The following is a 22,504-nucleotide window of genomic DNA, read 5'->3' as shown; positions in this document are numbered from 1 at the left end:
AGTCACATTTACTTTCCATCTTTTCATCTCCAAACACCCAAACTAATTTTTCTAAAGAACAAAATGTAATGAAATATTTAAATAATTATAAAATAACTACTGCAAGACAAAGATGACTACTCCTGAAAGTGAACTCTTGGCTAGCACCATCATGCCCTAACTCGAAGTGTTGCTTCATCCACTAATGTGAAAATGTACACATTTGGAGTACAAAATGCAGTTGGAGGAGTGGATCTAGAAATAGATTGTGGGGACATGGGCAAATATAGGAAAACAAAGGAAGAGGAAAGCACACCTAGTTGTATCCTTTTAATTAGGATCCTTGAGTATCCACAAGTAAACTATTTAACAAATCCTTGCAAGAAAAAAATGGTCCTCTAGGGCCTTCTGCGTTCTGATTTTTCTCATCTTTCCTATGTGTTAATGCCTCATAGTCTGCTAACACCTCTAAACAGAGACGAGTTAGAAATTTTTGTTGTAAGGTTAACTTTCAAATTTAGAGAAATAAAGATGCTCTTCAAATATTTAACTTTATCCCAACCTAAATTTTAATAAACTATTGAAGTTGACTAGCAACATGGCCATTTATACCAATTAGTAGTTATAGACTATCAAGACTGTCAGCCGTGCACACAAAAGTACTATAAGCATCTTTTCTAACTGCAAGAGTGTATGAACCAGTGCTTGAATGGTTTTCTGAGATATTTAAAGAAACTGGAATTTAAGTGATTTTTTTTCTTCAAATGCTCTTTCTCCTTGTATAATAATGTTGCCATTGTTCCTTTTTTCTTCCTACTTTTTCTTTCTTTTGTGATTGCTACTTACTCATCTTTCTCTTGATCGTTAGTTCTACACAGATGTTGATAGTTCTCCTTGCCTAATTTTTCTTCCCCACCCACCCAGACTCATTATTCACTGTCCTCAGCCCTGATCGCTGTCCTCCAGCATTTACAAGGATTAAAATGAGCCTGCCAGAGTCTGTGTGGCTATGATTCTCGTTTCAGGGCACTAGAGGACACACACATTAATACTTCCCAGGTGCTGGGTCAGCGGCTTCCTCTCCCACCTGGTGCTCAGGCCAGGTGTTGGTAAGACGGTAGGAACCTGAACTGGCAGGAAATTATTAAGCCTAGATGTTGCCTCTGGACTGTCTAGTCCTCCAAACACCCGAAGCAGTTTGATTCTTAAAAACTTACTCAGAAAAAGAAGCTACTGAGATATTTTCCCTTTTTATTTTCTTTTGGGTTTAAATAAATAGTAATGGTTATTCTACCCATGTGAAGTTTTTACTTCTTAAATAAACCCCTGTAACAAGTAGAGCATCTTCTGCAAAGAGAGTCCATGGATGCTTATTAATACATTAAATGTTCCAGTTAAGCTCTAGGTTAATGAAAATTCAAGTTTTTGAGTGGTTACTTTGTTCTAGTCCTCTGATGTACCATTTTGCTGTGTGCAACAGTACAGTATTATTTGAGTGGTTTTATTCATTAACAAAATGTACCAAAATAAATTTAGCTAGGGTCACAGTGTTTAATTTAATAGTATTACAATAATAACTACCATAATTAGTTTCAGATTTGCCTTCCTTCCCAGAGGATAAGACTTTTTTAGTTTTGAATGCGTTCTGAAGGTATGATAATGACAGCAAAATTAATGTCATGACCTTTATAGCCTGTTTATAGTTTTTCCATGTTGTACCCTAAAGGATTTAGGGAGCAGTGTACATCTAAAATAAACCACTTAGTATGGACAAGTTAAAAATTGGGTTAATTGGGTTCACATATCCTCAGCTGGTAGCACCTCAGTCAAGACACCATTTCATCTTACATAAAGGAGCATGATTTTTACACTATAAAATCATCTTAAAACTGTACCTGTAATGTTTTAAAAAGAAAAACATTTTAAAAGGCTACTTTTTCAAATATGTAACAATGTTTTCTCTAATTATGTTATGTGGTTTGACTTTTTCAATTAGGAAATCAAGTTGTTTTCATAGCAAGAAAATGTTGATACAAACTAATGTGTCATGCTGCATGAACACTAATGCTCACTTCCTTTTGGTGATGTTGGGCAGCAGCACTGTCTCTTGCAACGGACTCCTTTTCCCATTTGTAGTTTGTTGGTGGGACTTCCCATAAACAATCACCCTTCTAAGTCCTGGAGATGGGAAACTTGGTTTTCATTGTTTATATATTTCAGTAAAATACAGTGTTTGCATATTCAGCTAAAGTTGAGACAATTACATAGGCATGTTAGAATCCTTAAACGTTTTGAGTATTTGATTGAAAAATTCCTATGGCAATTTTTGCAAGTGATGGTTTTGAGGCACTTTCATGCGTTGTTAGATAAATCAGTGCAACTTCTTTGAAGGACAGTTTGGCAAAATCTAGAAAAATATTAAGTCAACCCAGAAATTTCTTACTGTGACTTCCTGCAGATAGACTTCCCACGTGTTAGCAAAGATGTACATGCAAGGGTGCACACTGTATGTAGCTTTGTAAGAGCAGAAGGCTAAGAACAATCTAATTGTCAACCAGTGGGTTAAAAAATAATGGTTCCACACAATCAAATACTATGCAGTCTTTAAAAAGAATGAAGATGCTTTATAAGTGCTGAGATAGCAAACTCTCAAAAATATATTAAGTGAAAAAAGAACAGCATGTATAATCTGCTTCAGTATGGAAATACGGACAGGGGACAGAGCTTATTTCTATGTGTTAGTTTCTGTAAACATAAAACCATTTCTGAAAGGGTGCCCAGAAAGGTGCAAAGAGCTGTTGAGCCGTTGCCTCTGAGGAGGGGAATTGGGGGAATAGAATGAGAAGGAGACTTATTTTTCAATTTATTCTCTTTTTTTTAGTGCTTGAACTTTTTTTTTTTGGACTGGTATTCATATTTTTAATCAATATACAAACAGAATGTTAAAAAAAAGTTTTTGAAGACTGTAGCAATGTAAGTAAATTCTTAATATATAAATGCAATGGTCTTCCCTTATTTGTGATTTCTCTTCTCATTTCAGTTACCTGAGATACAGTACAATAAGATAGAGTTTTGATAGAGACCACATTCACATAACCTTTGTATGTTGTTACATATGTGTTCACATTCACACATTATATGTTGTTACAATTGTTGTATTTTCTTATTAGTTATTGTTAATTTCTTCCTGTGCCTAATTTATAAATTAAACTTCATCATAGGTATGTATGTATAGGAAAAAATACAGTATATATAGGGTTTCGTACTATCCACAGTTTTAGACATCCACTGGGGATCTTGGAATGTATCCCCAGCAAAAATGGTGGAAATGTGATCATTTCAAAAGCAGTGAATTAAATCCAAACTGATCAAAGCCCTGCCAGCCAGATTGATTGAGGAAAACAAAATAAAGAACAATTTCACAATACATGTCTATATTATGGAAGTGTAAATGACAGCCTCTTTATTTTATGGTTTTTATTTTGCTGCTAAGTATCAGTTATTAGCAAATAATGCAATTCTTTTTTGAAAAGCGTTCATCTTTGTTGTGTTGGTAACTTCACTGGCCTGAATGCCTTCTGAACATTCTGTTAGCATTGGAAATCCAGGCTAGAAATTCCAAGGATGTTCTGCTTGATGTAGAAAGACTCAAATCTTTTTCTTATATCTGTATCCTAGACATTTGAACAAATAAGAAAACGGAGGATAGGCCTGTTTGTTAAAATTTGCCACAAACGTGAGTCTTTCTAGACTTAACTAAAATGCACTATGGCAGCATAGTCACTGTATTGCATTTATAGATAATATTGGAAATCAGTGTTTCCTAGGACTTGTTGTCTTTAGTTAGTGAAACTTAATATTGATACATCTGAAAGGCCCCCAAACCTGATGTTAGATAAATTCAAGAGACTAGGACAATTTTTACTTTTACATAAAATAAATTTGTTAAATTATTTTAAGAGTGCTGCAGTCCTTCTAAAAACAGAACCAAGCAATCTATACAAATCAAATAAACTTAATTATCTGTCACTTTTAGTTACGGAAAAGTTTATTAATGGCAGAATTAATAAGACATTGCTTCAAATTTTAAAAATCACAGATGGAACACATTTTTAACACTGGGAGGTAAAGTTAAGGAATTTTTCCAGAAAGAGCAAAAATTAATAAATAGAAAGCAAAACATAATAAAGAGGAGAAAAGCATAACCAGCCAGGGAAGCCCAACATTTCAATAATAGGAATTCAAGGGGGAAAAAAAGAGAGCAGAGCAAAGTAAATGAGGAAATCTTAGAAAAATAATTGAAGAAAATATCCCAGGAATTGAAATGCACAAATTTTCTGATTAAGAGGCCCCACCAAACACTTGGAAAGTGGAAGAAAATAGACTGAGACACTTCACTGTGAAGTTTATAAACATTGTTTCCACAATAAAAGCAAATTATATACAAAGAACTACTCACAGTGGCTTTGGATTTCTTCACACCGACATTGGAAACCAGAATACAGTGGAATATTGCCTTTAATTTTCAACCTGGAATTGCGTACCCACAAAAATTATCCGACATTTTTATTGATGAGAGAGAAAGTAAATCTTCATCCTCCATTGTGGGACATCAGTTGATAATGCCTAAAATTGAACAATCAAGAAGTGAAATTATAAGCATGTTATTAACGATAATGGAGGTCTAAATGCTGGAAGAATCAACTCTAAGAATTGAGAGTGCATGTCTCTGAGGAAGAGGACATGATTGCATTTTCAAAATAATAAGCTGTGTAGAAATGTTTACTTGACTTGAATTTTTTTAGATTGCAAAGTAAAAATGGAAAGATTATTCTAGTTGCATCAGAGAGAATAGATTGGACTGGAGGCAGGAAGACAATTTAGGAGCTATTGTAATACAGGCAACAAGCAGTGAGGACCTGACCTAAGGCAGTAAAGGTGCCCATAGAGCAAAGACAATGGCTTTAGAAAATAGAGAAGGAGCACATTTGGAGGCAGGAGCTGCCTTGAGTTTGGAGGTAGCCATTTAGAGATATGTAGGAAGGAGAGAACATTTCACCCTGGAACCTGGGAATTAAAAATATAAATTTGCAATTGTAGTTAGAACCAGATGAGTTGGAAGAAAATGAATAGAAAACCTATGAAGGAAAAATAAGGATCTAGGCTAGAACATATTTTCCTAATAGATTTTTATTGAGGCAGAAAAATGCCCTCTTAAACATTCTTAATCTACCAAGTTCAGTCATATGTGCAACACATGTTAAGGAACACAGGTGCCTGTATGTGCATGCATTTTATAACAGTCAATGATTAGATCATACAATTGGAAATAATGTTTTTTGGACTTCTAAGTATATTCTAGTACATTTCTTTTTTTTTCTTTTTTTTTTTTTTTTTTTTGGAAATGCCAAAGATAATAAAACCTTTCTTTGTAAAGAATTCTGGAGAACTTTATTAACATGTAATGTAATATGCTGTTTTTTGAGTAATTTTTTTACAAAGTATTTTCAGCATGTAGTATCCAGTTTAATCCTTTCTCCAGCAAAAAGAGTTAAGTATTTTATCTCTAACCTTCTATGAGCAGAAACTGAAATGGAAAAAAAGATTAAATGATTTGTCCAAGATCATACAGTAAGAAGTTTCAGTTAGAAATGTACATCTCCCCACTCAGTTCCCCAGGTTTTTAACTCATTGCATACCTGAGATTGGGCAGGAACATGATCCTGAAAATTAAGGGTGAGTCTAGTTCAATGACTGACATTCAGAAATATGTGTTGATGCCGGACACGGTGGCTCACACCTATAATCCTAGCACTTCGGGAGGCCGAGGTGGGCAGATCACTTCAGGTCAGGAGTTCAAGACCAGCCTGGCCAACATGGTGAAACCCCATCTCTACTAAAAACACAAACAGGAGCCGCATGTGGTGGCACACGCCTGTAATCCCAGCTACTGGGGAGGCTGAGACAGGAGAATCACTTGAATTCGGGAGGTGGAGGTTGCAGTGAGCCAAGATGGTGCCACTCCATCCAGGGTGACAGAGTGAGACTCAGGAGACGAGAGAAGAGAGGAGGGAAGAGGGGAGGGGAGTATTTTTTAATCAAACCCGTTAGCAGCATGCAGCCATTTAGGGAAGGAAGGTGATTGCCAAACATTGATACATTGTATTAATGCAAGTATCAATATAAGCATTAAGAATTTACTATGTGGATTAAAATTTATTCTGTAGATTAAGTTTTAGCTCCTCTAAAGCTTTAGTAACATTTTGAGAATTTTGTTTTTATTTGTTTCTGAAATGGGACAGATTGAGATAAGAATAAGCATTACAGTTGAGCCAATGAAGAATACTGTTATTACAATTGAGCAAATGATGAGTACTATTATTAGTCAGGATTTATGTACTATTAGCTTCTATTAGATATTATTGTATATATATGTGTGTGCATGTTAGATGCTGACAAGGTTGAAGAGAAAAGGAAATGGCTTATACACTGTTGGTGGGAGTATAAATTAGTTTGGTCACTGTGGAAAGCAGTGTGGTGATTCCTCAAAGACCTAAAAATAGAACTACAATTGGATCCAGCAATCCCATCACTGGGTATAAACCCAAAGGAATATAAATAATTTTACTGCAAAGACATATGCAGACATATGTTCATTGCAGCACTATTCACAATAGCAAAGACATAGAATCAACCTAAAATGCCCATCAGTGGTACTGGATGAAGAAATTGTGGTACATATACACCATGGAATACGATGCAGCCATAAAAAAGAATGAGATCATGCCCTTTATAGGAACATGGATGGAGCTGGAGGCCATCATCCTTAGCAAACTAATGCAGGAACAGCAAACCAAATACTGCATGTTCTCACTTATAAGTGGGAGCTAAATGATGAGAACACGTGGACACAAGGGAACAACAGACCCTGGAGCCTACTTGAGGGTAGAGGGTGGAGGGTGGGAGGAGGGAGAGGAGCAGAAAAAATAACTATTGGGTATTAGGTTTAGTACCTGGGTAACAAAATAATCTGTACAGCAGACTCCCATGACATGAGTTTACCTATATATCAAACTCGCACATGTACTCCTGAACCTAAAATAAAAGCTAAATGTGTGTGTTTGTGTGTGTGTGTGTGTTTATAATATTATATAACTAAAGTGGGCCTGAAGGTATTTGGGTTCTCTTGCTCTTGAGAAACATAAATTCCATCATTGCTTAGAAGAGGTAGTTTTTTTAAATAAATGAAATATAGTACAACCACTATGGAGAACAAGCAATTGCTTCTAAAGTTAAGTGGTCCGTGCTTAATAGACCACTTAATAATTCCACTCCCAGGTTTTTACCCAAGAGATATTAAAACATTTATCTATACAGAAACTTGGACACACACATTTATATTTATATTAATTCATGATAACCAAAAACTGGCAGCAACTCAAATGCATATCAGTTAATGGATTAAAAATTGTGTTATATTCATATAATGGAATATGATTCAGCAACAGAAAGGAATGGTCTACTGATACACATAATAAGTGAATAGTTACTGTCTGATGTATATGAAATGACAGGAAATTCTAGGACAAGCAAAACTAATTTATAGTGACAGAAAACATCAGTGATTGCCTGGGGCCATAGGTGAGGGTGGAAATTTATTACAGAAGAGCACAAGGGGACTTTTGAGATGATATTATATATTTTCAATAGGGTGATTGTTTTAAAATGTACTTGGGTTTGTTTTAGTCAGGTATGGTAAAGTGACAGGAGACAACTGCCTTTGAAAGAGGAGTTTAGGCCGGGCGCGGTGGCTCACGCCTGTAATCCCAGCACTTTGGGAGGCCGAGATGGGCAGATCAGGAGGTCAGGAGTTCGAGACCAGCCTGGCCAACATGGTGAAACCCCGTCTCTACTAAAAATACAAAAAATTAGCTGGACGTGATGGCTGGCATCTGTAATCCCAGCTACTCAGGAGCCTGAGGCAGGAGAATCGCTTGAACCCGGGAGCCGGAGGAGGAATCTGGGCTGGAGTACAGTGAGCCGAGACCTCACCACTGCACTCCAGCCTGGGCAACAGTGTGAGACTCCGTCTCAAAAAAAAAGAGTTTATTACTTACAGTCCCTTAGAGGAGGGGGCGCAGCATACCATTCAAAGCCACAGGGAGAAGCACCTGGGTCAGTCAGGAGGCAGAAGGAGCCAGGGGAAAGCATGGCCCAGAGCCTTTGTTGTAGTTTCCCCAGGAAAGACAAGGTAGGATATGAAAAGCTGTTTAACATTGGCTAGCTTGAATAATTTCAGTGGTCCCTGGCCTATAAGGTAGTCCATCTCACTCCAGTGATTTAGGCTGGAGAAATATTGGCTTGGTGTGTTAGTTAGATAAAGGATGTGATTGAGGATATGGGCTTTGGATTGGTTGGTTTGCGTATGAAAGACACGCTCACAGGGGAGTCATTTGCAATATATAGGAATTAGCTAGCCCTGGAAGGGGCAGTATCTTCCCCTCTCTAGCAAGTCCTCTAAGATGTCAAATCATCATAAAATTTAACAAAAAGCCATGATTAATACAGTGATCACTGTAAAGGTATATACATTTGTCAAAGCTCATCTTAAAGTGGGGTGCATTTTGTTGAATGTAAATTATCCTTCAATAACGTTACTTTAAAAGTAAAAAAACAAAAAAAGTTAATGAAATGGACCAACAGTCCCTGATGTACCTTAGTTCAACTCAAGATTTTTCAACTTTACAATGGTGCGAAAGCCATGTGCATTCAGTAGAAACTGTACTTTGACTAGCCATACAGCCATTCTGTTTATCACTTTTAGCACAGTATTCAATAAATTACATGAGATATTCAACACTTTATTATAAAACAGGCTTTGTGTTAGATGATTTTGCCTAACTATAGGCTAATTTAAGTATTCTGAGCATGTTTAAGGTAGGCTAAGTTACGACGTTTGGTAGGTTAGGTGTATTCAACACATTTTTGAATTATGCTATTTTCAAGACTTAGGATGGGTTTATCAGTATATAGCCCCATCATAAGTTGAAGGGGCATCTGTAAATGGGTACATGAAATTACTTAAAACAAGCCAGGAAAATTCATCCTCAAGTGCATTAAAAATTTTCAAACAACACCTAAGTATATAAAGGCAAAGAGCAGCATTGAATACTTAAGAATTACAAGTTCATCCAGGCAGTTCCTATTTTTCTTCCATATGTCATAACCATTTTCATGTTATGGCAAAAGAAAAAGGTGGCATTTTCAGTTATATGGTGTCTGAGTTTATACAACATTTTGGAGTTCTTTCCTGCCATATTCCTAAGGAATACTAATATGTATTTATTTTGATAGTTAACAATAAAAGGCTTCACTCAGCTTCTTCAGGTTTTTCAGTGATGAAGTTATATAGCATCCAGTCCATAGTTGAGTATCAGTAATCATGAGAAAGCTCTTTCTTATATCCAGTTGAAATTTGCCTCCTTGTAACTTTGTCTTCCTTACTGGTCCTAGTCCTGTCCACTGGAGTTACGTAGGATTCCTCTAATCCTGCTTCTAAAATAACAGTTCTTCAGATATTTGAAGATGGCTAGCATCTCCCCTTGAATTTTTTTATTTCCCAGGTTCGTTCCTTTCCCAGCTTTTTATAAAACTCACTTTTCCCTATTACTTTGTCCTTGCCATTCTTTGTTTTACTGACTTTCCTTTATTTTTAATAGTTGCACAGAGACATTCTACATTGATTTCCATCAGAACACCCTTGTCTATAGGTACATGTATGCATGGGAAAGGGATGAGGGGCAGAGGGAGAGGGAGAAGCTGCACTCAGGAGAGCATGAGGAGTGTATATATGGAAATGACACACACCTTGGGAATGAATTCTGGCCCATCTGAGTGACCTTGAGCAAGATGCTTAATTTTCTTTGAGCACCTCAGTTTCTTAACTTGATGATAACAGTGCAGATCCTCATATGTGGATGAGGTATTTGTGAATTACCTAGTGGTAGGTCTAGCACATAGTAGCATTTGTTGCAAAAGAGCTACAGTGTAGAATACAATCTAGGTGAAGCTGTCATCCATGGCTTCACTGACTGGTTCTAGGCTGAAAATAAGATCTTGTGTGATTATCAACCTGTTACATTTTAAAATCAAGAGGCACAGCCTAACAGTAGAATCAAAACTGGAAGACGGCCTGTCAAAAGAGCAGCTGCCCAATCAAAGTAGGTTAGTAACATTATCTTAATGTATAAAGAAAAGCCTGTTATGAATTACCTAAAGCTCTGAGACATTAAAAGACTCATTACCTTTTTTATATTTGCATGTTTTAAGTTATCCTGGCCAAATTTATTATATTATGGCATTTATCTGAATGACAGTATGTCAGTGTGATGATATATGACATGTTTATTCCCTAGGAAATAGTTTCCTAGAAATAATAATCTAGATTGACATCTACATCGCAACTCTGTGACTGGTGGCCACATACACATACAAGAGCATGCACTTATACATGTACTCACAACATGGGTTAAAGTTAATCAGCATGTTGAGCATGGAGCAAATTATTTTCTGTTATTCTCTTATGTTTCTTTATCTACATTTATTTTTAGGAACCTTAACAAAGCAGCATAACAAAGACAAAGCAGTGTCTGCCTTAGATTTCTTCAACAAGGAATAAATGGAAAAATTTTCATTTACATCAGGCTGTCACTTTGTCAAGTAACCAATTCACCTAATTTTCATTTTTAATCAACTCTCTTTAAATATGGCTTATTAACTAAAATAAAAAGTAATCATGTAACTGGTTTATAAAGCACATTGTATTAGATCTTGCTATCATTGATTGTATTTGCTGTTTGCATTCTTTAATTTTATTCCTTTCTGATAGATTTTTCTATTTAATATACTTTTCAGCAATTTAAGAAAAGTCAGGTTATAATTTTCAGAGGTTTTTCCTTATAAACTATGAAGGATGCAGTGGCTGTTAGTGCTATACTATGATTCCTTGAGTAAAAATGCACACTTACTCAAGGAATCGTATAAGGTTTATTAAATACTGTTAGATTTTATGTAACTATTTAATGCATATTTTCCTCTAGCATATTTATATTATTATCCAGTCAAATCAGAGGATCAAATCAGAGGATGCAATATTGTAACTATCCAAAAATTTTTTAATAAGTGTTAGGTATATTTATTATATAACTTATTCATGTTTAATAATTATAATAGAATTAAATGCAGCAATGCTTTGTGTCACAGCAAAAAACAATACAGCTTCATTTGAGTGGGTGTCCTACATGAAATACCAAGATATTAGGAATACAGTTAAAATTATTTTGATGGCACTCCTCTTCTAACATAGTATTTCAAAACAATGAAAATAAAAACATTTTTTTCTGATTGCAAAAGCAGTATTTATTCATTGGGGAAACTTTGTAATATCACTTTATAAGCATAAAAAGGAAGATTATGTAGCACTTTAATGCCCCGCTGAGAGATGCATACTTTTAATATTGGGTAATTTTTCTCATGAGTTATGAAAAAAATAACTGAACCATACTGATCTGTAACTAACACTTTTTTTTGGAGTGAAAACAGAGTCTCAGTCTGTCACTTAGTCTGGAGTGCGTGCAGTGGCACAGTCAGGGCTCACTGCAACCTCAACCTCCTGTCGTCAAGGGATCCTCCCACCTCAGCTTCCAGAGTATCTGGACTATGGATACGCACCTGGCCAATTTTTGTATTTTTTGTAGAGATGGGTTTTTTGTATTTTTTGTAGAGATGGGTTTCACTGTGTTGCTCAGGCTGGTCTCAAACTCTGGGCTTAGGCGATGCTTCCACCTCTGCCCCCAAAAGTGTTGGGATTACAGGCGTGAGCCACAGCATATGGCAATAACCAGCCCCTTTATACAAAAACATGTCATAAGCAATTTTTATATTTCTTAATATTTTAAGAAACATTTTTAAAAATGGCTTTATTATAAAAATATACCCTAATTCTAAGTTTTACATTTTTTGTGTATTTTAAATAGCACCCTTAACATTTCTTTAAAGGTAATGAGGATGATGATAATGATGATGGCTTTACACATTACAATGATGATTTTTTGAGCAAAATTCCTGCATGTGGAAGGAAGGAAGGTCTGGGCCAAAAGGAATGCAGAATTATAAAGCTCAGGATGCACATTGCCAGAGAGTTTGTACCAACTATAATACAGGAAGTAAATGAGCATACCCCTTTCCTCAGACTTCCCCCAAAGTTTGTATTATCATTTTTCTGCCAATTTAGAGGCAAAAAAGTAGTATTATTTTAGAAATTTGCAATTCTTTGATTTTTAGTAAGTCTTAACATTCTTTCTGATGATTACTTGTTAAATGTTGTCTTCTATAAATTTTTTAAGTCCTTACTCATTTTTATAGTAGAGCATTATCTCATTGTTATTTCTTTTATATTAGACAAGAATACAAGAACCATGTCCAGTATATCTTTTCCAGAGTGCATAGTAATACTGCAAACAACATCTGTTAAATGAATAAATGTATGTCTGTATGTCTATTAGAATTTTTAAATTTTTTCCCAATATTTACCTTTTAATTTTTAACAGCTATATTAGGATACGATTGGCATACAGTCAATTGCATATATTTAAAGTACAATGAGATAAATTTTGATATACGTATATACCCTTGGAACCTTAATCATAATCAAGATAATGAATATATTCTTCACCTCGATGGATGGGTATATGTTGTTTCTCAGGTCTGCTTATAGAGTCTGTCCCCCCAACCTTCTCTGTCTCCCCTGTCCCCAGGCAACCATTGATCTGCTTTCTGCCACTATAGTTTATAGTCTCTAAAATCTTATGCAAGTAGAATCATAGAGTATTGCTCTTTAATGTCTATCTTCTTTCGTATAGCATCATGTTTCTTCATTTCTATTGTGATGTAGGTCAACAGTTCCTTTAAAATGCTGAGTAATGTTCCATTGTATGTTTATATATTCCATCTGTTGGTGAACATTTGGGTTGTTTCTGGCTTGGAACTACTACAAATATAGCTGCTGTGAACATTCTTTGTACAAGTTTTTGTATAGACATTTGCTTTTGTTTCTCTTGGGTTGGTAGGAAGGGATTAGCTGGATCCTAAGGCAGGTGTATCTTTTCTTAATAACCAGTGATGTTGAACATCTTCTTATGTTCTTATTTGCAGGCCAGTTATCTTTTTTGGAGAAGTGTATGTTCACCTCTTTAGCCCATTGTAAATTGGGAGATTTGTTTTCTTATTTAGTTTTGAGAGTTTTTATATACAATTTCTTTATCAGATTATTTTCAAATAGTTTCTCCCATTTATGGCTCGTCTTTTCATTGTCTTATTGATATCTTTTGAAGAGCAGAATTTTGCAATTTTGATGAAGTTTAGCATATTAGTTTGTTATTTTATGGATTATGTTTCAGATGCCATGTCCAAGATACCTTTGCCTGACTAAAGGGCACAGTATTTTCTTTTAGAAGTTTTATATTTCAGAAGTTTTGTGTTTTACATTTGGGTATATGATGCATTTCAAATTTTGTATATGGTGTGAGGTGTGGCTCAAAGTTCTTTTTTGTTTTTTGCATACAGAGAAAGCATCATCCTTTGTTGAAGGGACTATTCATGTTCCACAGCTTTCCCTTTGGACTCTCATGAAAATACATATCTGTGTAGATTTATTTATGGACTCTCTATTTTGTTGCATTGATCTATATATCTCTTTCTTGAAACTAAAGTAGCATTAGTCTGATTTCTTTCTTCTTTTTTAAGAAAATTTTGATTATTCTGAGCTCTATTTTCATGTGAATTTTAAAAATTAAATTGGTTAATTTCTACAAAAAGTCTACTGGGATTTTGATTAGGATCACATTGAATTTATATATTTATTTGAAGAGAATTGCCATTTTAACAACATCGAGTCTTCCAACCTTTGAATGTGGTATATATCTCTTCATTTGTTTAGATCTTTTAAAATTTCTCTCTATGAGTGTTTTTTAGTTTTCAGTGTATAGGTCTTTCACATACTTTGCCAGGCTTATCCTTAATTATTTCATTTTTATGCTGTTATAAATGGTGTCTCAATTTCTGATTTATTGTCTCAATTTCTGATTATTTCTAGGATACAAAAATATAATTTATTTTTGCATATTGATTTTGTATTGTGTAACCTTGCTAAACTCAGTTATTAGAAGAGCTTTTTTTGTAGATTCTATTGAATTTTCTAATTAGACAATCATGTCATCTGCAGATAAAGACCATTTTAAGTCTTGCTTCACAATCTGAATACATTTTATTTATTTTTGCTCTATTGCACTGGCTAGAACTTCCAATACAGGGTTGAATAGAAGTGGTGAGAATAGATATCCTTCTCTTGTTTGTGAACTTGGAGGGAAAGCATTCAGTCTTTCATTATTTAGCATGATTTTAGCTTTAGGTTTCTCATAAGATGTGTTTCACCAGAGTGAGGAGTTCCTTTCTATTCTTAATTTATAAAGGGTTGTTTTTTTTTAATCAGTAATGGATGTTGGATTTTATCACATACAATTTTTGTGTCTGTTTAAATAATCATGTAGTTTTCTTTTATAACATTAAGATGGTAAATTGCATTTATTTTGAATGTTAAACCAGTTGTGTATTCCTGGATATCTCTACTTGGTCATGACGTATTCTCATATTGTTGGATTTGATTTACTAGTAGTTTGTTTATTACTTTTGCATCTGTGCTTATGAGGGATATTGGGACATAGGAATCTTTTCTATGTCTGGATTTGTCTGGTTTTGATATCTAGATAATCCGGCCTTTTTAGATAGTAAACATTTCCTCCTTTTCAATTTTCTGGAAGGATTTATATATAATTGGTATAATTTCCTCCTTAAATATTCAGTAGAAGTCACCAGAGAAGACATCAGGGCCTAGAGGTCTAAGAATTCTAGATTACAGTTGTTATTATTGTTTATTGTCTTCAGACTTGCATTATTTTTGTTTTTGTTTTTTTCTTTTTCTTTTTTTTTTTTTTTTTAGATAGAATTTTGCTCTTGTTGCCCAGGCTGGAGTGCAATAGCACAATCTCGGCTCACTGCAGCCTCCGCCTCCTGGGTTCAAGCGATTCTCCTGCCTCAGCCTCCCGAGTACCTGGAATTACAGGCATGCACCACCATGCCCAGCTAATTTTTGTATTTTTAGTAGAGACAGGGTTTCTCCATGTTGGTCAGGCTGGTCTCAAACTCCCAACCTGAGGTGATCTGCCCGCCTTGGTCTCCCAAAGTGCTGGGATTCCAGGTGTGAGCCTCCGCGTCCAGCCAGACTTGCATCATTTTATTAATAGTAAGAAATCTGTTGTTATCCTTATCATTGTTCCTTTATATGCAATGTGTCTTTTTCTCTGGGTGCTTTAAAAACTTTTTTTTTTCACCAGTTTTGAGCAGTTTGGCAATGATATACCTTAATATGTTTTCATGTTTCTCGTGAATCAGTGTTTTGAGATGTTTGGATCTGTGTGTTCACAGCTTCATCAAATTTGGAAAATGTTCTGCCATTCTTTCTTAAAATAATTTTTTTGCCCTTCCATCTCTCCCCTCTTCAAATACTGGTATGTTAATCTTCTTAAAGTTGGCCTGCAGCTCACTGATGCTCTCAATTCTGATTTTTGTTTTTTGTTTTTTTAATTTTACTGTCTTCTCCATTCTGTGTAGTCTCAATAGCTGTGCCTTCAGATTTGCTAATATTTTCTTCTGACGTGTCTAATGTGCCATTAATTTCATGCAGTATATTTTTCATCTTATACATTATAGTTTTTATCTCTAGAAATTTTATTTGAATTTTTTCATGTCTTTTCTACCTGTACTTAACATTTTGAGCACATGAAATCTAGTTACACACTTAATGTCCTTGTCTGCTAATTCTAATATATGTCAGTCCTGCTCAGTTTTGATTGTTTTCTAAATTATGGATCATATTTTTCTGCGTTTCTGCATGCTTGATAATTTTTATTAGATGTCAGTCATTATGAATTTTACTTTATTGGGTGGTAGATATTTTTGTATTTCTATAAATATTTTGTGATTTTTTCTGGTACATAGTTAAAATAGTTTGAAACAGTTTGATTCTTTCATGTCTTGCTTTAAGATTTACGTGAAACCAGAGAAATGCACAGTTTAGAATTAAGTATTCCCCCCTACTAAGGCAAGACCCTTCTGTGTACTCTACCCATTCCTTTGTGGATTATGAGTTTTTTTACCCTAGCTAATGGGAACAGGCAATATTCCCGTTCTTCTGTGACTGTAGTGTACCTTGGACCTTTCCCTGGTCTTGGGGTGTTTCCTCACTTGCCTGTGCTGATCATTACAAAGGTAAATAACCCAGCGAGGACCCTCTCTGTTGTGCTGTGTCTGTGTGTAGCTCTCTTTTCCAGTATTCTGGAAATCTCTGCAAGGATCTGTCCTCACATAGAGCTCATCGCAGTTGTTTCAATAGGGCTCATTGCAATTGTTTCCTGGCTCTCGGGGATCAGTTTTTCTTGACCTGATGATGCAGGATTTTTCTCGACCCCTTTGTCAGATTTGCAATGGGGGTGCCCTGTTTACTCAGCCTGCCACACTCAACCCCTTGCAGGAGGGAGCACGTGAGCAAGCGAGTGGGTTCAGGCTGGCTGCTTTGGGTGCCGGCAGGAGCAAGCTCCATGCACACCCTGTGGCGGTGCCCAGGTGGGAGTGCCTGTGATCCCCAGAATCCCAGAGGGCATGCTACAATGCCCTCTTAGCTTAGCTTTACCGTTTATGGACAGCAGTGTTATCAGCTCAGTGGGCCCCTTGTCTTGTCATGTGGGGTGTCTACACTCCACCAGCAAGGGCAAAGGGCTAGTGTGACAGCCTTTTTTGGGTACCTGCATCCAGTGGGTCCCAAGCCCTTGTGTGGTGTCCAAGAAGAACGAGGTCATGCTGACACTTGAAGGATGGTGGAGGCAGATAATTTTATTTAGCGATGGATGTCTCTCAGTGGAGAGAGGAGCTGGAAAGGGGGATGGGATGGTCAGGTAATCTTCCCTGAAGTCAGAGCGTCCCTCTGAAGTTAAGCTATCTTTCCTCTGAAGTCCAGCTGTCCCTCTGAAGTCAAGTTGCTTCTCTCCAGTCAAGCTGCTTCTCTCCTCTACTGACTGAGTCCAGGGTCTTTAGAGGCACAGAATGGGGGTGCAGGGCAAGCCATGGGTAGTTTTGGAAAAGGCAACATTCGATTGGTAAAAAGACATTATTCAGAAAGAACCAATCAGGAGAGAACAGGCAAACAGGGATAGAAGTTCTCACCTTGGGCAGCAGGTTTCAGGCTACTTTGACTTGAAGGTGCTGTTTCACTGGGGACCCGCCCCTGTCTGCCTAGAATTTCTCTGCCTCCTGCTTCCATCGCTGATGTTCAGTGTTTTGAAGACATTGTTTCATATGTTCTGTCTGTGTTTTGGTTGTTTCAGGCAGAAGCATGAATCTGGTCTCTGTTACTCCATCTTGGCTAGAAGTAGGAATCATGCCTTTTAATTTTGTCCAATTTTCTTACTTTAAAAATATTTAAAATTTTAAATAGAAAAATTCATCAGTCTTTACCTTAATGGGCTCTGTACTTGGTGTCATGCTTAGGAACATTTTTTTGTTTAAGAACTTATAAAAAAATTTACTTCTATTTTTCAAATATTTGAATTGTCTTATTCAGATATTTTATTAATATGGAACACTACATTATACACAATTTGGAAAATAGCTAAAATATGGGGAATGGGGGAGAACACCTGTAATTCCATCACCAAACACACTGTAAATTTATATATTGACATATTTTCTTCCATGTGTTTTCCTGTGCCTTTATTTTTTGTGTATTTGTAATGCTGGTGTCCATCATTTAGCATGTTCATCCATGTTTATCCAGTGCATCGCATCATTAACATTTTTTATGTTGCTACATAATCTTCACAGTTGCATTTTAATGACTGAGTTATATTTCATCAAATGATTATATTACAATTATATTACCTTTATACTGTTAAGCATGTTAGCTATTTCTTCTTAAAGTATATGAAGCAATTATCAGAGAGTACATTTTCAGAGAATCCTAACTTTGCCTACTTACACATGACCCCATGAGAGCAGAAGTGTGACTAAGGCCCCTGATGTGTCATTGCATCTGTCTCTAAGCCCATTCTAGTACATTCAATAAAATCCTATTTGTAGAAAAATGAGAAGAAAATAAAAACATCAATTCTTAATAGCTCAATCCATTTCTTATTACTCATATAGTTATAAAACAAACTTTAAAAAACAGCTTAGAATTTCTATATTTAGTATGCATTAACATGCTCTCTCAATTACTTTCTAATACTTATTTGTGCTTGCTTATTTTTAGGAAAGATACTATTCAAGTCCAGTACATCATAATGCAGAATTCTGTATCAGTACCACCAAAAGATGAAGGTAAGTTAAACTGCTGAGGAAAATGGTGATGAGTCTGTTATAGTTTTAATTTGATACATTGAATGTCATTGACCTCTAATCATAAGGTAACTTATTTCCTAGAATTAAAAATAAAAATTATAATTATATATGAAAACTCATTTCTTTTGGTAAATAATTTGAGTGTATATGGATTCCTGAGTTTTAAGGACCTGTCTCCTTTATAGGCTATAGCGCCTTGAGAGCCCAGCCATCTCATTCCACCCAAAACTCACAGAGCCCTGCTTATTCACTGGCAGTTAACTGGCACTAACAGATATCAGTAAAATTAAAAAGTGTTGGCTTTATTGAAGCAAAATAACACAAGTATTTTAGTGAGTAGAAGAATATATGCATATATATTCACACACACATCTGTAGACATACACTTAGAGGATATAGAATTTGTGTATACATTTCTTTGCCTGTTTCCCCTGATATCCATTTAAAAAGAAATAGAAAAACTATTTTACTTTTTGCAATGTATAAAAAATAAAATAATGATTTTTTAACAGGCACTTCTGGACCTTCCAGAAGAACCTGTACCTCCAGATGGAGGTAGAGTCCTTTCTTCATCAAGAGTAATTAAATTACCCTCACCATAAAGGGTACACTCTAACCCCGGGGAGAAATACCAGTCTTTCCCTGCCCCATCTAGTCTCTTCCACACAGAAGAGAAGTTCTGACATGTATGAGAAAAAAGACATATCTTTAATGAGGCAAAATTAGGTTGCCTTAGTGGAACATGTAGCTTTTAGTGAAAGGAGGGAATTTGTTATGAAGGACCCTTAAATAGAGCAAACACCCTTTGATCTCTCTACCAGTGAGAAAGGTAGTATCATAACTCTTGAGCACATGGAATCTGGATTTGAAACTCAGTCCTACCACTTAACTGTAAAACTTTAGGTGTATCACTTGACCTCAGCTTCCACATCTGTAAATCTATAAAATGAAGATAATAAGTTCCACTCTATAGGATATGTGGAGACTAAAGGAAATAGCATATGTAAATCACCTAGCATATTGTTGTTTGCATAGTAGGCACTTATATGATGATAAAACTACCATTCTCAATGGCTATTATTAATATCTGGGACATCCTCATCTTTGAGACTGGTCAGTGAGATGGCCATGAGGCCGCCTCTTGCCTGGGATGCCTAATGGCCTTGGAAGGCCAAACATGCTCCAAGGGGACCCATGGGGAGTAAGCAGGAATTAGACCGCTTGGTTTGATTCTTACCCAGGAGTTGATCCGAAGAGAGAGTGAGAGTCCTTGAGACTCACACAAAATCCAGCCGGGAACACTAGGGCAAGAAAGGAGATGGGCAAACCCCAACTAGAAATAAAGAGCATGTGTTTTTCTTGAGTGTTCTCTGGTATATATCCTCTGGAAGATTTGTGCAGCACTTGGTAGCTGATGAAGGGTTTGAAATTCAGTGTCCTAGCTGGTATTACCTTTTTTTATCCAAGCAAGCAAGGAGAAGCTTAGGAGAAAAAATAATGGAACAAGTATCAGGAAAGCTGGACTCCATTCCATACCTGCCTCCAACCAGCTGTGGAACCCCAGGCAAAGTTATTTTGCCCCTGAGCCTCAGTTTTCTCATTGAAAAATCGAGAATGACTAGGTGTTCCTTTCAGGCTCTAAAAAGGTGAGTCTATGTGAGTAACTAAGCAACAAGCTGCTTGGCTCTGGCTGATACAGAGGGAGAAAGCACTCACACCTCTTGGCTGCTTTGCTTCTCATCACAGTTTGTTTTGTTCTGATGCCTACCTCTCTGGGCTATCACATAAGCTTGGATACTTCCATTGACCGGAAAGTAAGACCCCTTGGCCCTACCCAGAGCTCAAGTAAACCTCCTTACCCAGTCTTTTCTGGGACTAAAGATGCTTAAGCCCAATCCTGGAATTTGACAGAGGATATATAATAGCTTAAAAAAACCTCAATCATGTGCCTCCATTGTGATAATCATTCTACCTACAACTTTACATCCTTTATTTAATCTTCACAATAAGTTAGACGTAAACCTTATTTTACAACTTCAAGATTAGGTACTTTTTGCCAAGACCACCAACCAGTAAGTGACTGATCCAAGATTTGAACTCAGATCTATCATAAAATTTATAAAGAATATTTATATAAATTATAGAGAATATATATTTATAAAGAATATTTAATTTATAAAGATATTTCTATAAGAATTTACAATTTATAAAGAATATTTCTAATAATTTTTGATCATCTCCTTTTTCTCTCATCAAACATACTATGCTTAATTACACATATGAATGCTTAAAGCCATTTTAAACCAAAGTGAGCAGAAATTATAACTTAAATTATGGAAAATTACATCAATAAGGAAAAATAATATATGTGAATACATGTAAGTCCTATGAATTGCCCAGTTATTCATTAATTTACTCATTCATTCATTCAAATGCTTTCTGTATGTCTTAGATTAATATTAATATTTTTTAACAAAAGCATCAGATGTATTAATTATGATTCTGTTTATGATCAAATATAATTTATGGCTAGGTACAGCAGCTCCCACCTGTAATCCCAGCACTTTGGGAGGCTGAGGTGGGAGGATAACTTGAGGCCAGGAGTTAGAGACCAGCCTGGGCAACATAGCAAGACTCCATCTCTACAAAAAAATTTCAAAATTAGCTAGGCGTGATGGCTCATGCCTATAGTCCCAGCTACTTGGAAGGCTGAGCTAGGAGGATTGCTTGAGCATAGGAGTTTGAGGCTGCAGTGAGCTATGATCATGCCATGGCATTCCAGCCTGGACAACAGAACAAGACCTTGTCTCTAAATATATATATATATATATATATATATATATATATATATATATATATATACACACACACACCCCCACACACCCACACGTAATATATTACATATATATTTGTTTAATTGCATGTACATAATTTGTGTGACATGAGAAGTTTGCTGGGCACATGCTATTTATTAATTAAATGCAGATTGATTTATTTAACAAACCATTGATGGCTAGCTATAAATTATGATACCTTTGAATTTCCAACTTATAAACACATACACACGTATTATATGCATTTCTGTATAAAATTCAGATAAGACATCACCAACAGAGTTGTGAGGCTTAAATTAAGGAAAATATGCTGTACTAACATACTGTCCCCAAACAAAGTTCATATGGTAGAAGCAGGTTTAATGATCACCAAGGTAATTCATACGAGGAACTATCAGATGCTATGAAGAATCCAAAGGTAAATCATACAGAGCCTGAGCTTTTAGGCTCTAAAATCCTGTTGGAACAGCATATGTGCATGTCCTTAATTAGAATAAAGCATGACTAATGCTGTACTAGAAGTGAGTATGACATACTTTGAAAATCAGAATGAAAGGACAGTTGGCTAAGCCAGAGATTTTGAGGCTGGTCAGGAAACAAAATGGAGGAGATGACATTTGTTCAGGATATTAACATATATGTACAAGTCAAGCAAGTGGAATTTAAGCCAGGGGTTTAAAGCTAGGAAGAGCTGGCAGCATTATTAATGGAGAAAACAAATTTGAAATTCTGGTTTCTTCTATTTAAATGTTATCTAATTTCAGATAAAGAGATTTAACATTGTACTGTCACTCTAACGATAAGTTATACTATATTACAGATTTTTCTATTATAAACTAGTGTCACCGTTATTCCTTTCTGTGTGAGAATATAATTTATAGAATTTTGAGATGTTCATGAGACTTATTTTGTTACAATTTTCTATATCATTCTTTCAGGATTTAGGGATAGAATTTAGTTTTCCATAACCTCCTTTTTTTGTCTGTTATTTTCAAATGATGAGCTAAACTGTGTTTTTCAAAAAAGAGGCATGAAAACAACATAATAAGGCCAACTATTTAGATTTGGTGAAAGAAAGACAAAGTCACCACACTGATTAAAAATGCAAGTGAATTTATTTACTTCCCATATAAGAAAACTCATACAGGTGAGCAGTATCACCAAATGATTCTCTGACAGGGACA

The 22,504-nt window shown here is 35.7% G+C and overlaps 1 protein-coding gene across 56 annotated transcripts in view; it reads left to right on the top strand.

Annotated features, from left to right (window-relative positions):
• The window catches only part of ZNF438 (zinc finger protein 438), a 187,780-nt gene that overhangs the window by 136,949 nt on the left and 28,327 nt on the right, over positions 1-22,504 (top strand). For 50 of the 56 annotated variants that reach the window (NR_170659.1, NR_170660.1, NR_026560.2 and 47 more), the window contains one exon: positions 18,398-18,465. Coding sequence is in view for 45 of the 56 variants with exons in the window: in XM_047424729.1 (XP_047280685.1) it covers positions 18,429-18,465 (37 nt within the window). In the remaining 11 variants the exon portion in view is untranslated. Of the gene's footprint in view, positions 1-12,352; positions 12,522-18,397; positions 18,466-19,953; positions 20,133-22,504 lie in introns of those variants that run through there. The other 6 variants (XM_017015877.2, XM_047424750.1, XM_011519376.3 and 3 more) reach the window with 3 other exon arrangements.

The sequence above is a fragment of the Homo sapiens genome, chromosome 10 (assembly GCF_000001405.40).
Source record: "Homo sapiens chromosome 10, GRCh38.p14 Primary Assembly".
NCBI classification, from domain to species: Eukaryota; Metazoa; Chordata; class Mammalia; order Primates; family Hominidae; genus Homo; species Homo sapiens.
This window is presented reverse-complemented; position numbering and strand designations above follow the sequence as displayed.